General features: G+C 49.5%; 1 protein-coding gene and 1 pseudogene across 3 annotated transcripts in view, besides 1 other annotated feature; one reads left to right on the top strand and one right to left on the bottom strand.

The window, feature by feature from the left end:
• The window catches only part of NEURL1B (neuralized E3 ubiquitin protein ligase 1B), a 50278-nt gene extending 33501 nt beyond the window's left edge, over positions 1–16777 (bottom strand). For all 3 annotated transcript variants that reach the window (NM_001142651.3, NM_001308178.2, NM_001308177.2), the window contains exon 1: positions 16603–16777. In NM_001142651.3, coding sequence (NP_001136123.1) covers positions 16603–16633 — 31 coding nt within the window. In that variant the 5' untranslated portion in view covers positions 16634–16777. The remainder of the gene's footprint in view (positions 1–16602) is intronic.
• LOC100130394 (translation machinery associated 7 homolog (S. cerevisiae) pseudogene) lies at positions 1303–1681 on the top strand (annotated as a pseudogene).
• Positions 16726–17015: a silencer, noted in NCBI's record as "silent region_16623". NCBI's record gives its function as "represses an Ori minimal core promoter by ATAC-STARR-seq in GM12878 lymphoblastoid cells {active_cell/tissue: GM12878}" and the evidence as "EXISTENCE:reporter gene assay evidence [ECO:0000049][PMID:35858748]".

Below are 18218 nucleotides of genomic sequence, written 5' to 3'. Positions count from 1 at the left end.
TCACGTGATCACTGGACAGGGGGCCCTTCCCTCTTAGGTAGCTGAAGCAGACAGAGAAGGCAGCATATGTCAGCGTTTTCTTCTATGCACTTATAAGAAAGATCAAACACTTTAAGATTTTCCCTATTCCTTCTACCACTATCTACTACGAACTTCAAAGAGGAACCAGGAGTATGGGAGGAACATGAAAGTGGACGAGGAGTGTGCCCATTGAAGCACAGCACCACAGGGAGGGGTTTAGGCCTCCGGATGACTGCGGGCAGGCCTGGATAATATCCAGCCTTCCACAAGAAGCTGGTGGAGCAGAGTGTGCCCTGACTCCTCCAAGGAAAGGAGACTCCCTTTCGTGGTCGGCTAAGTAACAGGTGCCTTCCCAGACACCGGCGTTACCACTTGACCAAGGAGCCCTCAAGCAACCCTTATGCGGGCGTGACAGAAGACTCACCTCTTGCCTTCTAGGTCACTTCTCCCAATGTCCCTTCAGCACCTGACCCTATACCCACCGGTTATTCCTAGGTTATATTAGTAATGCAACAAAGAGTAATATTAAAAGCTAATGATTAATAATGTTTATAATAATGATTGATAATTGTCCATGATCATCTCTATATCTAATTTGTATTATGACTATTCTTATTCTAACCATTTTCTTTATTATACTGAAACAGTTTGTGCCTTCAGTCTCTTGCCTCGGCACCTGGGTAATCCTCCACCCACAGGAGCCCTGATTAGAATCTCCATCCCATGTGTCCTAAGTTCTGGCGATCTGACAGTCCTTGGTTCACTGGTCCTCTCTATAGCCCTGTGAGCCCATTTCACATATAGGGACATTAGGCCCAGAGAGGGTAAGGGGCTGGCACAAGTTCATGAGGCAGATAAACAGCACGGTGAGGATTCGACTCAGGTCTGAATCCAAAGCCCATGCATGCTGTTGGTTATCATGCAGAATTGCTTCCCTAGCCAACCAGTCATCCATCATGGGGACGTGAGGGACTGACTCAAATAGTCTATAGCAGGACTATTTGGTCCTACTGCACAGATCAATTTTGGGAGCACAGATCCCTTGCCTCCAAGGAAAAAAGGTAATGGCCACTTAACAGAGTTCCCAGCTTGTGCTGGATTTGGACTTCACCTAGAATCTCCTATTTATTCATCATCGCAGCCCCATGAGGGAGGGAGGGACTGTCATTATCCCCATCCTAAAGATGAGGACATGGCGGTTGTTAGGAGTTTTAAATTTATTTTCAAAGAATTAATATGTCAGTGTGTTCAATTCTTTGCCTTCTACTTTTAAACTTAACTTCTGGGGAAGCGGCGGCAGGCGCCATGTCCGGCCGCGAAGGTGGCAAGAAGAAGCCACTGAAACAGCCCAAGAAGTAGGCCAAGGAGATGGACGAGGAAGATAAGGCTTTCAAGCAGAAACAAAAAGAGGAGCAGAAGAAACTCGAGGAGCTAAAAGCGAAGGCCGCGGGGAAGGGGCTCTTGGCCATAGGTGGAATTAAGAAATCTGGCAAAAAGTAAGCTGTTCCTTGTGCCTGAGGAGATGGTGACCCTTTATTTCATCTGTATTTAAACCTCTCTATTCCCTGCCATAACATCTTTTGCCACGTATAGCTGGAATTAAGTGTTGTCTTGGAGCTGTTGTACATTTAAGAATAAACTTTTGTAAAAATAAATAAATAAATAAAAAATAAACTTAACTTCCTAGTAAAGCAACCTTTTTCGATTATCTCCTCCACCCTAACTCATTCTGATCACCCGCTCCACTCTAATTCGTTCCGATTACCTGCTTCACCCTAACTCATTCTGGTCACCTGCTCTACCCTAACTCATTATGATTACCTGCTACCTGCTCTGCCCTGACTCCCGCCAAAGCACTCACCCCGTCATTCTCTTTAAATTAGCCAGTCAGAATTAGTTTAACCTGCACAGTCTAATCCTAGCCAATAGGGGAACGACACAGCAGCAGGGGCCACATGCGTCAGGGATAAGAACCCCTTCCCCTCGTCCAAGTGTGCACTCATCATTGCTCCATCTGTAAGGATGTACCCTTCTATGAAGTAACTTGCCTTGCTGAGAATTAAAAAGAAAATGTTATATTTGAGTGCTATTCCTTTTGCGGCACCGAAACTTTATATATAACAATTTGGGGGCTCGCCCGTGATTATATTCCCCTCAGGGGGCGGTCTCTGGTTCTTGTGAGGAGGTGCACCCCGCCCTATTGTGGCAGCCTCAAGGGTTAGAAACAAGACCCACCCAGTGTGAGGAATAACCTGAGCTCTCAGCAATGCAGAGGGAAAAAAAAAAAAAAACAAACACTGGCCAGCAACCTAGCTTAAAGGATCCTCACATACTGCAGCAACAACTGTGCATAGACCAAGGAAGCAGCAGCCGTGGAAGCCGGTAAAATACTTCCTTGGTGATCAAATTCTGGAGGGCTAAATGTGTGTGTGCGTGAATGACCACCCTGCTGGTGGTGTTGTGTGTGGATGGTACAAGTCCTACTGCTGGACGGAGTGAGTGGGTCCTCTCCGTGGTTCTGTAGCTACCTCATATGGTTTAGGGTGGATCCTGCCGTAGGATTTATACCAGCACACCAACACTAAGAGGGGCCTAATTCTCCCTTAGGGAGCAGCCAGAGAGGACAGCACAAGTGGGAAGTGTGCAAAGGACCTTCAGAGGGGGAAAGGAGGGAAACAGGTCAACCTCCCAGGACGAGGAAGGCAAGACACCCCCTGGTTTGAGGGGTTGAGCCTTCCAGGGCAGGCAAGGCAAGACACCCCCTGGTTTGAGGGGTTGAGACTTCCGGGACAGGCAAGGCGAGACATCCCTGGTTTGAGGGGTTGAGCCTTCTGCTGATTTCAAGGGTTGAACCTCACACAACCCCCCCACTTTCTTCTTGGGGGAAGAAAGAGCAGCTCCACTCCCTCCGGTCCCTTCCCTAGGTGAAGAGGAAGGAGAGGGGAGAACAGCAGCCTAAGTGGCTGGCAGAGGCAAGGAAAGACCAGCAGAGAGAGAGGAGAGAAAAAGAGAGAGGGGAAAGAGAGAGAAGAGACAGAAAGACAAAGAGGGAGTCAAACAGAGACAAAGTCAAAGAGAAAGGGAGAGATATACAAGTAGTTAAGAAAAAACCAGTGTACCCTATTCCTTTAAAAGCCAAGGTAAATTTAGAACCTATAATTGATAATTAAAGGTCTTCTCCGTGACCCTATAACACTCCAATACCACTTTGTTGTCAGTGTAAACAAGGGTGTAGCCCAAAAGCACTGAGGCCACTGACAACCCATAGCCTTCCTATCAAAAATCCCTAACCCAGTACCCTGCGGATGGCCCAAATACATTCAATCTGTAGTGGCAACGGCTTTGCTAACAGAAAAAAGTAGAAAAATAACTTTTAGAGGAAACCTCATTGTGAGCACACCTCACCAGTTCAGAACTATCCTAAGTAAAAAAAAAAAAAAAAAAAAATAGTTTAACTCAAAAATCTTAAAGTATGGGGCTATTCTGTTAGATGATTTAACATTAACCACTGATAATTCCCTTAACCCACCAGGTTTCCTAACAGGGGATCTAAGTCTTAATTAATTACCACGCAAAGGTCTCACCAGACCTAGGAGGAGCTCCCTTCAGGACTGGACGATAGATGGTTCCTCCCAGGTGATTGAGGGAAAAAGACACAATAGGTGTTCAGTAATTGATAAGGAAACTCTTGTAAAAGCAGAGTTAGGAAAATTGCCTAATAATTGGTCTGCTCAAAGTGCGAGCTGTTTCCACTCAGCCAAGCCTTAAAGTACTTACAGAACCGGGAAGGAACCATCTATACCAATTCTAAGTTAATTTGGAATGAACAAGGTTTTATTAACAGCAAAGGATAATTGAAATCCCAAACTTACAAGGTTTTCAATAAAAGTAAAATTTGCTAAAAGTTAACAGTGTAAAATGTATTATCCTAACTTCTAATCTTATGGCCTTAGGCAGTCTAGTCCACAGACATGAAGGAAGTTCACTTTGGAAAAGAATGGTTATCATCTTTAGGGGAAAAAAAAAGTTGGGGGAGAATTTATGTAAAAAGTATGTTATATGGTAAATTATTGTCCTAAAATAACTGGTTGTTTAAAGAAAGAGATGTTTGCAGTAAGTCAGAAAGTTGAGGCATGTTGAAGAATTGTCTGAAAGTCGTGAAAGAAAAAAAAATGTGTTATAAAAGGGAATTTACGCAAGAAATGTTGTATAATTTAAAAGTAATTAGGCCTCCTGAATGTAAAACTATTGAAAAAAGTTTATGTGCAAGGTGTATAAGGAAAGTAAAATATACTTTTAGTAAAAGGATTATAAAGAGGCATAAGAATGTGGATTTTTACCTACATTAAAAGGTTAAAATTTTTTTTGTTTTGAAGGTTTAAGCAAGTTTTAAAACGTTAAATTGTAAAGGAAATTCTGTGTGTAAACATATTGGCTAAAGTTAAAAGGGTATCATCCAGTTTTTCTGTGAACTGGACATTAAAATAACATGACGGGTTTTTCTTAAAGCACTAACCTGCTCTTTAACAAAAATTATAAAAGGTTAAAAAGAGTCTATAAACATTTTACCTTATGGTCAGACATTAAAAATTAAATGTCTACAAAGTTTTATTAAAACTAAGTTTAACATTGACACACTAATATAAAGGTGAAATTTAGCTTATCTGGTATAAAAATCATACTGGAAGCATTGTCAAATATAAAATGGTGTTTGGATTTCTTCAGTCTAAAAACTAAAAAAAACAGGTGCTAAAGGAAGTTTCTCAGTAAGAAGGCACCAAGCACTATAAAGTCCACTGCTGACGTCCCCACATTTAAAACAAAGGTCAATTTCTTAGAAATTATATACTTGGTTTATCTCCCACTTACCTTTCCCTCAAAACTAAGTGTTTTAGCACATGTACCACTCCTAGAATTTCCAGTAAAGCAGCACCAACCTGGCGATCACGTTCTCATCAAAGGATGGAAAGAAGGAAAACTCAAGCCAGCCTGGGAAGGACCCTACCTTGTGCTGCTAACCACCAAGACTGCTGTTTGTACAGTGAAAAAGGGATGGACTCATCACATCTGAGTCAAGAAAGCACCACCCCCTCCAGAGTCGTGGGCCATAGTCCCAGGGGAAAACCCTTCCAGACTAAAGCTAAACTCTTGATTCTATTACTCTTTCTTCTTCCTCGCTCTATTGCTGACCATCTAGTTATTAACAAAACCAAGTCAATTTCACCTCAAACTATTGCATTTAATGCTTGCCTTGTTATACCCTGTGGGGACTTGCCAAGTCAAAGACAGCTCTCTGCTTCAGAAAAGTACCTCTATCCCTCCTGACTTTCTTCAGACTGGGCATTAGTAAATTAGGACCATTTAATCTGGGAAGATTTCGATAAAGACCCCAGTGTCAACTAGGAGTCTTGCCCCCTGATGTAGAGCTTTTATGCCGTAGTTGGTCCAACGTTCTGTGGACCACTAAACAGCAAGGATGGACTGCCCCAACCGGTTTCTGTAATTTCCTAAAAACCATACATTCATTTTGCTAGAGGATCATAGAAGTTAAAGAGTTAAAACAAACATTGGCAATTAGACAGAATACCAAGATGCAAATGCCTGGTTGGAATGGATCAAATATTCCGTCTGCACGTTAAACAAAAGCAATTGTTATGCTTGTGTACATGGCAGGCCAGAGGCCCAAATTGTCACCTTTCCACTAAGGTGGTCTTCCAGTCGACCAGGTGTGGCCTGCATGGTAGCTCTTTTCCAGGATTCTACAGCCTGAAGTAATAAGTGGTGCCAAGCTCTCTCTCTGCTATATCCCCAAGTCCAGCACCCTGCGGGTCAGCCCCCGAGGGCCATCCAGCTTCCATCTCCCAACACTAAGTTCACTTCGTGTCTCTCATGACAGGGAAGAAACTTAGCCTTCCTTGGAGACCTGAAGGGATGCAGTGAGCTTAAGAACTTTCAAGAGCTTACCAATAAGTCAGCCCTTGTTCATCCCAGAGCGGATGTATGGTGGTATTGTGGTGGACCTTTACTGGACACTCCGCCGAATAACTGGAGTGGCACTTGTGTTTTAGTCCAGTTGGCTATCCCTTTCACCCTGGCATTTCATCAACCAGTGGGAGGAAAAACAAGACATCATAAAGCAAGAGAAGCCCTTACAGGTCTTTTGACTCTCACGTCTATTTAGATGCAATTGGAGTCCCATGGGGAATACCAGATCAATTTAAAGCCTGAAATCAAATAGCTGCAGGATTTGAGTCAATATTTTGGTGGGTGACAGTTAATAAAAATGTAGATTGGATAAACTACATCTATTACAACCAACAGCGATTTATTAACTACGCTGGAGATGCTGTTAAAGAAATAGCTGAACAAATGGGGCTACTAGCCAGATGGCTTGGGAAAATAGGATAGCCTTAGACATACTAGCAGAAAGAGGAAGAGTTTGCGTCATGATTAAAACTCAATGTTGCACCTTCATCCCAAACAACACCGCCCCTAATGGAAGTATAACAAAGGCATTGCAAGGTCTGACTGCTCTATCCAATGAGTTAGCCAGCAACTCGGGTAAATGACCCCTTTATAGGATGGCTAAAAAAGTAATTCAGTAAATGGAAAGGAATAATACCCTCAATTCTTATTTCCCTCGCAGCCATGATAGGTGCACTTATTCTTGTCAGGTGCTATGTCATACCATGTATCTGTAAGTTGATGCAAAGGCTCATAAAAACAGCACTTACTAAAACCTCACTTAACTATCCTCCACCTTATCCAGAGAAGCTACTGCTTTTGGAAAATCAAGCAGAACAACTAAGCCAAGACATGTTAAAAAAAGTTTGAAAAGAAAGCTGTAAGGAAATACAAGGGGAGTTGTTAGATATGAGTTCTAAATTTCTTTTCAAATAATTAATATGTCAGTATGTTCAATGCTTTGCCTTCTACTTTTAAACTTCCTCGTAAAGCAACCTTTTTCGATTATCTACTCCACCCTGACTCATTCCGATCATAGGCTCCATCCTAACTCATTCTGATCACCTGCTCCACTCTAACTCATTCAGATTATCTGCTCCATCATTCTGATCACCTGCTCCACCCTAACTCATTCCGATTACCTGCTACCTGCTCTGCCCTGACTCCCGCCAAAGCACTCACCCCATCATTCTCTTTAAATTAGCCAATCGGAATTAGTTTAGCCTGTGCGGTCTAATCCTAGCCAATAGGGGAACAACACAGCAGCAGGGGTCACGTGCGTCAGGGATACGAACCCCTTCCCCTCCCTTGTCCAAGTGTGCGCTCACCATTGCTCCATCTGTAAGGGCATACCCTTCTATAGAAGTAACTTGCCTTGCTGAGCATTAAGAAAATGTATATTTGAGTGCTATTCCTTTTGCGGCACCAAAACTTTGTGTATAACACAGCTCAGGGAGGAACAGACTTGCCCAGGATCATACAGCTTAGAGACAGTGGAACTGAGATTCAAACTTGGGACTGCCTCCAAACCCACCCTCTTTCCGCCACCTTTCTTGAGATTCCAGCGAAAGACCCCATTTGTAATCACCTGGTGACCTTGTGCCAGGCTCTGGTCCTCAGTATCCCCATCTGCCACGTGGGAGCTGGGACAGGGATTCTGAGCACCCTCTGGTCCTGAGAACAGAGCCCCTGAGTGACCTATCTGCAGGGCTGAAGTTCCTGCAGAGACATGGAAATTCCACTCTGCCATCTCCTGCCCTTGAATGGACCAAACTTTAAGGGAAGGGAAGCTTTTCTGAGACATGGAGATCTGCTTGTTTGGACTGGAAAGTTACCAGGCAGACCTGGCAATGGAGACACGGAGTACAGCGCAGACCCATCTCATAAATCCATCCTTGTAGCAAAAGGAAAGAAAATACGTGCCTGAGGGATGCAATTGTGATATAAACAATGTGTAATGTTGAGGATGTAAACAAAATACACTGTTTAATAGCTGTGGGCATTCTGCCAAGTGCCAATACTGCCCAAGACACCTCGACCCCACCCATTTCCCCAAATGGCTTAGTCATTAAAGAACTTTCCCCCCCTTGCCTAGAAGTGAGGCTAGCGGCCAGCTCTGGGTGGCCCTGAGTCCTGGTAATAAGATGAAAGGAGAAGAAGGGATGAGTTTGCTGGGTCTGTGGTCCTGGGATGGCTGTCCCAAACTCTGCTCAGAAACACCTGCCGCTATCTGAAAGTTCTGAGGCTGGGTGGACACAGGGAGGTATGAGAACTGGGCTGAGGCAGGTGACGTCACCGTCCTGTGCCTTATATGTCCTGATCTATAAAGTGGGGCTAAACCCTCTGCCATGCAGAACTGAAAGGGGGACTAAGTGAAAGATGTGAAGGGTGCCAGGCAGGAGTGGTGGCTCACACCTGTAATCCCAGCACTTTGGGAGGCCCAGGTGGGCAGATTACCTGAGGTCAGGAGTTCAAGGCCAGCCTGACCAACATGGTGAAAACCCATCTCTACTAAAAATACAAAATTTAGCCGGGTGTGGCAGTGGGTGCCTATAGTCTCAGCTACTTGGGAGGCTGAGGCAGGAGAGTTGCTTGAACCCGGGAGGCAAAGGTTGCAGTGAGCCAAGATTGCACCACTGCACTCCAGCCTGGGCAACAGAGCAAGACTCTGTCTCAAAAAAAAAAAAAAAAAAAAAAAAAAAAAAAAAAGAAGTGAAGGGCTTTGCAGGAGTTCGGCAGATGGGCGCTGGAAGGCATTCCCTGGAAGACCCCAGGGTCAAAAGGCGTCTTCGTGGATAATTCATCTGAGATGCATTGGATACTCCAGGGCCTCTGCAAGAACCATGTCAAGTCCCAGTTTGACTAATTACCTGTGTACTCCAGTGACAGGCACGTTCTCCCCGCTGTCCAGCTCCAGACAGTTCCCACAGTTAGTTCCTCCTTTGGTTGAATTGGAATCTGCTCTCCTTTGATGTCTACACACTGGTCATGTCTGCATTGGGTCCACCATGCACTTCCCCTTCAGGTCTGCAGGCAGCTCTCAGGCCACCACAGCCCCCGCAGACTATGCTGCTGGAGAGTCTTTGCTTCCCTGGGGATGGCATGGCCTTTGATTTGCTGCCCAGAAAGCCCTCAGGGCATCAGCTCTCCCCTGACCTGCCTGGGCAGGGAGTTGGAGATCTGCACACCAGACCTTGGGGACTATCTGCTGGGAATCCCCATGGTGAACCCACAGGCTGCCTGGAGAGGGCCCCCACCCTGCCATGCCTAGAGGTGCGATGTGAGACAAAGAAAAGTAAAAGAACTAGGTGAGCAATTAAAAATGAACCTGCCAAGATTTCTAAATGCTTACAGAGTTCTGCCAAATACAATGAAGGCTTCCAGTGCAAATGGGAAATGTCCTCCATGGGAACCCTCCACCCTGACCCAACATTCCCTTCCACACTGACGTTCCTTCCCTCTAGCTGGAATCATGTTGGACTGCTTGAGCTGTGTTCCCTGGGAAAGTTACCTTCCCTCTCTGTGCCTACGTTCTCCCAAGAGTTGGGGCACTAATAATAGGAGCCATCTCCCAGGGCTTGTCCTGATAGACATGGACGTACCTGCTGAGAACACTGTCTGGCACAGACGGGCTACGTGATACAAGTTAGTGGTTACGTGATACAAGTTAGTGGTTATTCTTTTGTGTCTGTCTCCCTTGAGAGCACCCAATCCTAAGATCAGTGTGGAGGAGGGGCTCATCTCCCAGTGAATACATAATCCTAGCAGGTGCTACGTGTGAACACTTAGTACCTGCTGGACACTTGGCATGCCTGAGAGGTAACATCATTCTCCCCTTTCTGTAGAAGAGGAAACCAAGGCTTAGAGAGGTTACGTCACTTGTCTGGCTAAAAAGGGGCGAGGCCCAGACTCAGACCCGAGAAGGAAGGACTCCAGCCTGTGCGGTTAATCTGCTGCTGCTGGGGGCACAGCATGGGGACAGGACACTTCTCACCTGCAGGACAGACGCGGGCCCTGGATGACAAAGGGCTCTCACCCTCACCTGGGCCCTTGCTCACTGACTGGTGGGGGCTGCCTGGAAGTCCGGGATGGGGGAAGGGCCTGTGAGGACCCTGGGCCCAGGGAAGGTATTGGGAGCACTGTGATGCTTGCCATTGGGGGCTGGGGGTGTCAGCATGGGCCAGTTTTTACCAGGCAGATGAGTCAGGAGCCTGAGTCCTAGTTGGGCAGGAAGAAGGAGCACAGAACTCAAGCTCACCCCGTCTCCTCTCAGGCAAGATTCCCAGAGGCCACATCCAGCTTTTGAGTTCCAGAGTCTACAGGCCTGGGGTGAGGTGGGCGGGGGCAGGGGGCTTCTCTAGGCACAGCTTCATTTTGGCGGCTGTGGACAGAAGTAATTCATCTTCAGAGGGCAAAGGGAGTGCACCTGCAATAAGGGTGGGGCTCAGGTGCTCAGGACGAGGACAAGGGGCAGCAGCAAGTCAGCAAGAGGAGCCGCAAGAGGCCCCAGGGTGCAGTGCCCCGTGGGATGGAGGGGAAGGGGTGTGGAGCCCAGCGTGCCTGGGATCCAATTCACTCTGCCACTTCCTGGCCACCTGGGCCGGGCAGGTCTCACTACCCCTCTGAGCCTCAGTTTCCCCTTCTGTGACATGAGAAGACTGCCTCGCAAGGCTCTCATGACGGCTTCAATGGGATGGAATAAAGGGCCTAGTGCAGGGCAGGTGTGCAGAAGCTCGGACCACCCCGCGACACTGCCCAGGTGAGCGTGTGCTACCTGTCGGGCTGCGACCTGGCGCCCTCCCTCTTCCCTCTCTGCTCTAAGCTCTAACCACACACCTGGCCTCTGGGCTTCTATTTTAAGCCCTCAGAGAGCACCATAAGTACAGAAAGCCCTTTGGTCCAAAAGAGAGGCAGAGCTGACTCTTCTCCATGGGGGAGATTAAACAGCCTGTTCTGAGCGGCCCTTGAGGTCCAGCCCAGGGAAAATGCTACGCCCCTGCTGGCAAACACAGCACATTATCCCGGTTGGGAGTGTGGCAGCTGAGAAATCCAAGCCTCCTGACTGCAGCCTGGCCTACAAGAAGCCTCCTCTTACCCCCGGCCCCCGCCTCCAGACTTTCCCACTGCTGTGACCTCACATCCCACCCCCATTTGCACTGGGGTCCTCAGAACTCCACAGCCCCCCACACCTGTGCTGCTCCCCCTCCCTCAGGCCTTTGCACATGGTGCCCTGAACAGCCTTTCTCACTCCCTTCTCCTAGCTGATGTCTCTTCTTTACGGGCTCAGCTAGACAGAGCGCACCTCCTCCAGGAAGCCTCCCCTGCATCTTCTGGGCTCTCACAACTCCCTGAGCTTCCCTGCCGACCGCGTACTGTAACTGCTGTGTCTTTGTCGGTCTCTCCTGCTAGAACTTGAGTCCTTAAACCCAGGCTGTGTTCCCCTGCAGGAGAACTGTAAATGCAACCCACCAGGCATATCCTTCTTAGCAGAAATCAGGTGTTCAGGAAAGAGCCCAAGGAACCCTTGGGAACTGCTGACAGTAGACAGGAAAGGGGTGCCTCCCCATCTTCAGCCCCTTGGTTTGAGGCTTGTGGTCACCTGGGGCAGGGTTTTCAAGGCAAGGAGTGAAGGGCACCTGTCAGCCAGCCCCGTGCCGGGACTCTAGGAGCAGGCCCGAGGCCTCTCTTCCCAGAACCATGATGGCTACCATCCTGGGCATTTGTTGAACACTCACTTTCTCTATTCCATGTAATTCCCACCCCCACCAACCGTGAAGGAGCTACCCCTAGTCTCCCTGTGAGGAAACTGAGGCACAGAGAGGTCATGCCATTGGGAACTGGCCGAGCTGAAATTTGAACCCAGGCAGCTTGACTCTAAGATCTGAGTCTAACACCATAACACCAGCCTTGCACTGCTGTAGGCCAGGGGCCTTCCAACTCTCAACGGCTCCCGCTGTGTCCCAGGGAAAGAAATGCATTTTACATGGCAACACACAAAACACACATCTCACACACACCCGCATGCGCAACTGAAACAAAAGTTTATGAAGCAAAAATACTCTTACTACATAAATGCACCAGATTTTTAAAATTCTATGTCATTAAAGATTTTTTTTACAGCTGGTCACAACCCACGGTGGAGAGACCACATGGTCTGGTGGCCAGGCCTTGCGTGGAGTGTTGGGTGCTGACTTTCCCTCTCTGAGTCACAGGGTAGCAGTAACTTGTGCTCTTTAGTGATGTGACCAACTGGGTGTCCCGTTCTGTTACAGCATGTTGGCCCCTTCCACTAGGGCCAGCTCCTGAGGGTAGCAAGCGATTCTGATTCTACAGAATCACTGATAGAGGTGGTTCTTAATGACCTGGTGGAAGGGAGGAAGATGGGACAAGACAAGCAAGGTAAAGCCCAAGTGAACGTGAAGTTGTGCCTGGGGAAGGGGGAGGAGAGGTAGAAAGAGAAGAGGCAATATCACTCCATGGGCCATCCATGCAGTATTGCCATGGCTGGAAGGAGGGTGACAAGGGTCGCTGTCCTCCCAAGAGCTGAGAAAGTCCAGATCCAGGGAAAACAGTGGCTGCCAGGCCCTGGGAGCAACACCACCCATGGCTCAGATGGGAAGTCAGGGAGCAGCAGATGTGTCCCGGCTAGGCTCAGCATCCACATGGCCCCTTATCTGGGCCAAAAAGAGAAAAGGGCTCTGCAAGGGAGGATGTCAGACTGTCTGGGGTAAGCGAGTGCTTCTTTGTCTGGATGCAGCACTTACAGACTGTCCACGTAGGTTAGGGGAGGCTGCTTCTCCCCTTACTCTGTGTCCTTGACCTCTCTGAGCCTCCACTTGCTGCCCTGTAAAATGGGGATAAATATAGTCCCTCTAAAGGGTTGTTATGAGGATTTCAAATAGATACTGTGGGTAAAGCCCTTGACCAAGGGCTTGATATAGAGCGGGATCAACACACTTTCCTCACTCCAAAGCTCCAGGATGCCCGGTTATTGAGCTAATACGAAAAAGCTGTTGGTTCGGTCAAGCGTGGGCCAACTTAATGATGAAACCCAACCTGTTGTTTGAATTTAGTGTATTCTCCAACCAGAGCTGCAGGTGAGCCCAAGAGGCGAGAAGGAAGGGATTGGAATGTGCTGTTAGGAGAAGGGGATGAGTCCCTCCCTCCACCTCCCCTCACTCTCATCCTGGAACGCTGCCCTCCCCTATCCCCACCTGCTTACACTTTTTTTCTCCCTTCAAATACCCAGATGAAGGCTAACGGACTCGAGAGAGAAGGACTACATGGTATGAGGAGTCAGACAGGTCTCAGTCTTTTAAGCCCAGCTTTGCCACTGCCTAACTGTATGCAAAGTGTCTTAATCTCTTTAAAATGGTGGAGAATGGCACCTTACTTTGCAGGGTTGAGTTGCAACTGGAAAGAGAGTGTAGAGCACACAGTAGGAGCTTAGTAGATGTGAGGTCCTGTGCTGCACGTTCTGTTTAAAGGGCATTTCTCTGAATATGCTGATGCACTTTGCAAGAGCTGCCAAGAGGCTTCCGCAATCGATCATAAACAACCTTCCCTTTCTTTGGCATTTCCTTATTGTATAGTGTAGCATGCCACGTGCATGGTGGGGAACCCAATAAATGTTATCTAAATCACGGGCTGGGAGGCCACAGCATGTCAGAATAAGAATGCAGGACTTTGGAGCTAAGTTAACCTAAATTGCAATCCCAGTTCTGCCAACTAGGTGAACTGTGTGAGCTGGGACAAGCCACTTTACCTCTCTGAGCCTCGGCTTCTCAACTGTAATATGGAGATGATAATGCCTACATTGCAGGGATGTTAGAAGAATTAAATTCATCCATTCATCCCATCCAACACGTACTTACTGAACATTTACTCTGTACTAGCCACTGCTCCAGGTGCTAAACGTATAGCAGTGAATAAAACAGACAAAATCTCCCTGGGGGAGACAGACAAGAAACTGCTAACTACACATACAGCGTGTCGCATAGTGACACGTGCTAAGGAGAAACTTAAAGCTGGGTCAAAGGAGTGAGTGGGGTTGGGGCAACAGCAGGCCCCTCGTTCAAGCAGAGACCCCAAGGAAGCCTGGTGGGAGCCATGGGGAGGAGGGCAGAAGAATGTGCCGGGGAGAGGGATCAGGAAGTGCAGAAGCCTTGAGGAGAAGCATGCTTGGCGTGTAAATGAAGCCACATATGCAGGAAGCCTGGCATGGAATCCAGGTGCTCAGCAAATGCCAGCTCTCTATTTCAAGTCCCGCAGAAAGAACCCCACGCATGTGTCCTTTTCCTGAGAACGAAAGCACAAGGATTCTACAGGGCAAGACTGTGCCAAGTGTTCCTTCAGCCTAAGATTCAGGCAACATTCGAGCTCCACCACCAGTTTTTGAGCCCTTGCCAGGCACCAGTCTCTGGGATGGGCAACCAGGGATACAAGATGATCAAGACAAGGGCTCTGTCCTCAGGGAACCGCAAAGAGTCACAGAGACAGGCAGTGACAATGCAGTCATTGCAACGATGAGCAGGAAAGGACTTCAGGCATCCAGATAGCAGAGCAAAGGATGAGACTGTGGGTGGTCAGGGAAAGCTTCCTGGAGGAGGTAACGACAACTGGATTTTGAAAGGCAGACTAGACAAGAAAGGACAATCCATGCATGGGGACCATCACATGCCAAGCACAGAGGTACAAAAAACAGCACAGGGTGTGCAAGAAACTCATACTGGTAGGTCGGAAAACAATTAACGGCCCTTCATATTCTTGGCATCTGCCACCCGATGTGACTCAGGAATTCCGGTTCTGACCCCTTCCTCAAACTCAGTGCAAGCTTCAATCCCCAGAGAAGAGTCTGAATTCCCCATACTTAGACACTGCAGTGGGTAACCAACCTTAACTGCCGGCTCCCAGACTAGGGTGGCCCAGTCCACAGAGAGAGAGTTGAGAGGGATGGAGAATACATAAATCTCTAGCTATATTTAGCCTGCCTGGCGTGTGTCTGTCCCTTTACGCACCCCAGGGCTGACCCACAGGTGGCAGAATGGCTTTTTACTAGAATAGTATAAACATTTTTAAATTAAGAAACCAAGGAAAGGGGCCTGTGCCGAGGTGCCTCATCCCAGTGTCTATGTGGCGAGAATATCTGCTGCCCTATTTGCCAACATCCCCAGATATCTCCTGACCCGCGGGTGGGTTCTCCCCCAACCTGGCAATAGCCCTGTCCACAGGAGGTAGAGGCCACCCTCCAGTAAGCAGACCTGGGTTCTAATCCCACCTCTGCCACTGACTAGCTGGTGACTCTGCTGATGATTACAGCTCTCTGGGAATTTGAACGTTTGAGTGCAGTTGCTCAGAGGCTTGTAAAGTAGGAGTTGGCTCCTCTTCCATAAGCTGACCCTGGGAATCCTGGGCTCAGCACTGTCCACTTCAACCCGCTCCAGGGGAAATTATTCTTTAAGAGCATGTAATGCCTAGAAGGGAGAGCTATATGGGAGTGTTATAGCAGAGATGGGGTGATATGTCCCTCTTCCAGAACCTCACACTAAATTAACCTCACAGCTGACTTGCTTCCCCATTGAGCCGAGCCTTTGTGCTTTAGACACACACACACTCCTCTCACCTTTTGCCCAAAGGATGCTACAAAGGCCCAGCCTTAAGACAAAATACTTCTAAATACTTGGGCGTGTGAGGGGAGGGAGGGCAGAGAGACACAGGTCCCACTCCAGATTCTCCCACTACTAGCTGTGTGACCTTGGGTGAGTCATTTCACCTCTTCTGACACTCAATTTTTTTATTTGTAAAACTGGGATACACATCTTTATCGCGAAGCTTCTTTGCATACCGAGCTGGGGTATGCAAAGTGCTGGGCACTGAACCTCCACGGGCACGCGCGGGCGCGGGACCGCTGATCTGTTCCCACAATTACCATGTATTTTCCAGTAAGGCCTCCTCCTACCCCGTTAACCTGCTCCGGATCCCCTCACTCCGGTCCCAGAAATTCTGGGGCGATTTTAACTAGGGGGCGATGCGATCTGCAGCAGCGACTCCGAGGGGGCGAAGGAGTCCCCAGTGGAGCGGACACCAGAGGGGGGCGCAACCGGGGTGCGCGTGGGAACGTGGCCAAAGCACGGCAGCATGTGCCGCGGGGGCGCTGGGAGGCTGGAAACTGGGGTGCCCCTGAGAGCACCCCTCACTCTCGGCAGCTGCAGTCTTGGCACCACGGGTGGCTTCTGACCGTCGGAAGCCCTGGCGAGCCCGGCTCCAGTCACCCCCACCCAGGTCGCCTTGAGTTTGCTCATCAGCGCCCTCGGGCTGGAACAAAGGCGAGGGGGCGCGCGGCATCGCCCCAGCGGCCCTTTTTGCGCATCTGGCCAAAGCCGGGAGAATGAGGACTGGGGTCCCCAAGGTAACCAGGACGCGGTACCCGCCCTCCCGGGGCGCAAAGCCCAGCCGCGGGGCGCGCGCCGAGCTGAGGTCCGGGAGGTACCGGAGACTCCAGCCCGCTGCGAGCCGAGGGCTCCAAGGGCCGTGGGGTAGCTCTCCAGAGTCACCCAGCGGGTCCCCCGGAGGAGAGAAGCCCGGCGCCCGCCTCCCGGGCAGGGCTCCCCGGCGTACCTGGCAGGGTCCGGTGCACCGTGTTGCCCATCGCTGCGTCGGGCGCGGCGTTGGCGGCGGCGCGCTCTGGGCGCGCGGAGGCTAATTACGCGGCGGGCCAGGGACCAGGACCGGGGTCGACGCTCCGGGGCATCGCAGCTGCACGGGCGAGCCGGCGGGCGGCAGCTGGGGCGGGAGCCGGGAGGGAGGCGGCGGCGGCGCCTGCGGGAGGAGGAGGCGGAGCCACCGGCCCGGGCCCGCCGGCTCCGCCCCCGCCTCCCACCGCCTCCAACAGTGCAGGGGCGGGGCCGCGGCCGCCGCATCTTTTGAAAGTTTGCACCAGGCGGCGGGAGAAGCACAGCCAAGCCTCCCGCCCTCGCCGCTCCCGCGCCCGGGCCGGGAAGGCGCGCAGGGCAGCTGGGTGCCCTCGGGTGCCAGGATCGGCAGTCTGCTGGCCTGTCACCCATTTGTTCTAACACTTTGAGAAGGCCCACTGTGTGCCAGGCCCTCTTCCAGGCGCGGGGCCCCAGCCGGCCGAGTCCTAGCCCCGGCAGACCTCTTTGGAGAGTGCTTCGGCCCCGGGGGAACTTACACAGAGGCAGACGGGCCCCTGGGACCATGTAAAGGGCTTGGAGACAGTACACCCAGGGTTCCCGGGTTTGGGTGGAGTCTTTTCTATCCCCTAGGCCAGGTACCGAGGAATAGAAGAAACCCAGTGTCCAAAGATTGGGAAGAGGGAACCCACATTCATTAATTTATTCGCTCATTCACTAAAATATTTATTGAGCACAGTCTATGCACCAGGCACTGTGCTGGGCCGGGTAGATACAGACAAGGTCCCCACTGCCCTGGAGATGGCATGCTGAAGATAGAAATAACAAGCAATTACGATCACATTATATAATAATCAAAGCCAGGAAGAAAATAAAACAGATCCCAGTAGAGTGAGGAGATGACATTGTTTGGGGGCATAGGGAGAATCTGGGGTGGGGGCACATAAGCTCCATCTGATGGACTAGAAGGCGTCGGCCATGAGAAGAGATAGGTAGAGTGTTCCTGGCAGAGGCAGTAACAGGCATTCCTCATTCAGGCACCTGGACCACACTCAGTGGGAAGTGCAGCTGTGCCCTTCTCGAGCTCCATTTCACAGGCTGGAACGCTGAGGCCCAGGAAGTGCAATGACTTCCCCAAGAAGACCCGATTCCAAATGAGCTGTTTTTTTCAATTCTATTTTTCATGCTCTTGTATCCCTTGAGACTTTATGAAATATGTATTATTACTTCCATTTCACAGATAGGGAAATTGAGGCTCTGAGAGTGGAAGAGAGGTGCCCAAGATCTTCCAATGGTACAGGGCAAAGCTAGCCTGAAGCTATGCGAATAAAAGCGGGGTATTCAGGAGACAGCCTTCTGCATCTCCGGTGCCTTCTGCTTACAGTACATGACCCATCCCAGAGGGTTCTAGGGTCTTTAAGGCCAGCTCCAAGCTTCCACTTCCGGGAAACCTTGATTCCCCACTCCCCCCTGACGTCATATGTCTGAACATAAGATTGCCTTGCATTTGAGTTACTAATTTCTCATATTACAGGTGCTCGCCCAGTGACTTAATTTTTAACCCCAAAGTTCTGTTTGAGAAAG

This window comes from Homo sapiens, chromosome 5 (assembly GCF_000001405.40).
Source record: "Homo sapiens chromosome 5, GRCh38.p14 Primary Assembly".
Classification (NCBI taxonomy): Eukaryota; Metazoa; Chordata; class Mammalia; order Primates; family Hominidae; genus Homo; species Homo sapiens.
This window is presented reverse-complemented; position numbering and strand designations above follow the sequence as displayed.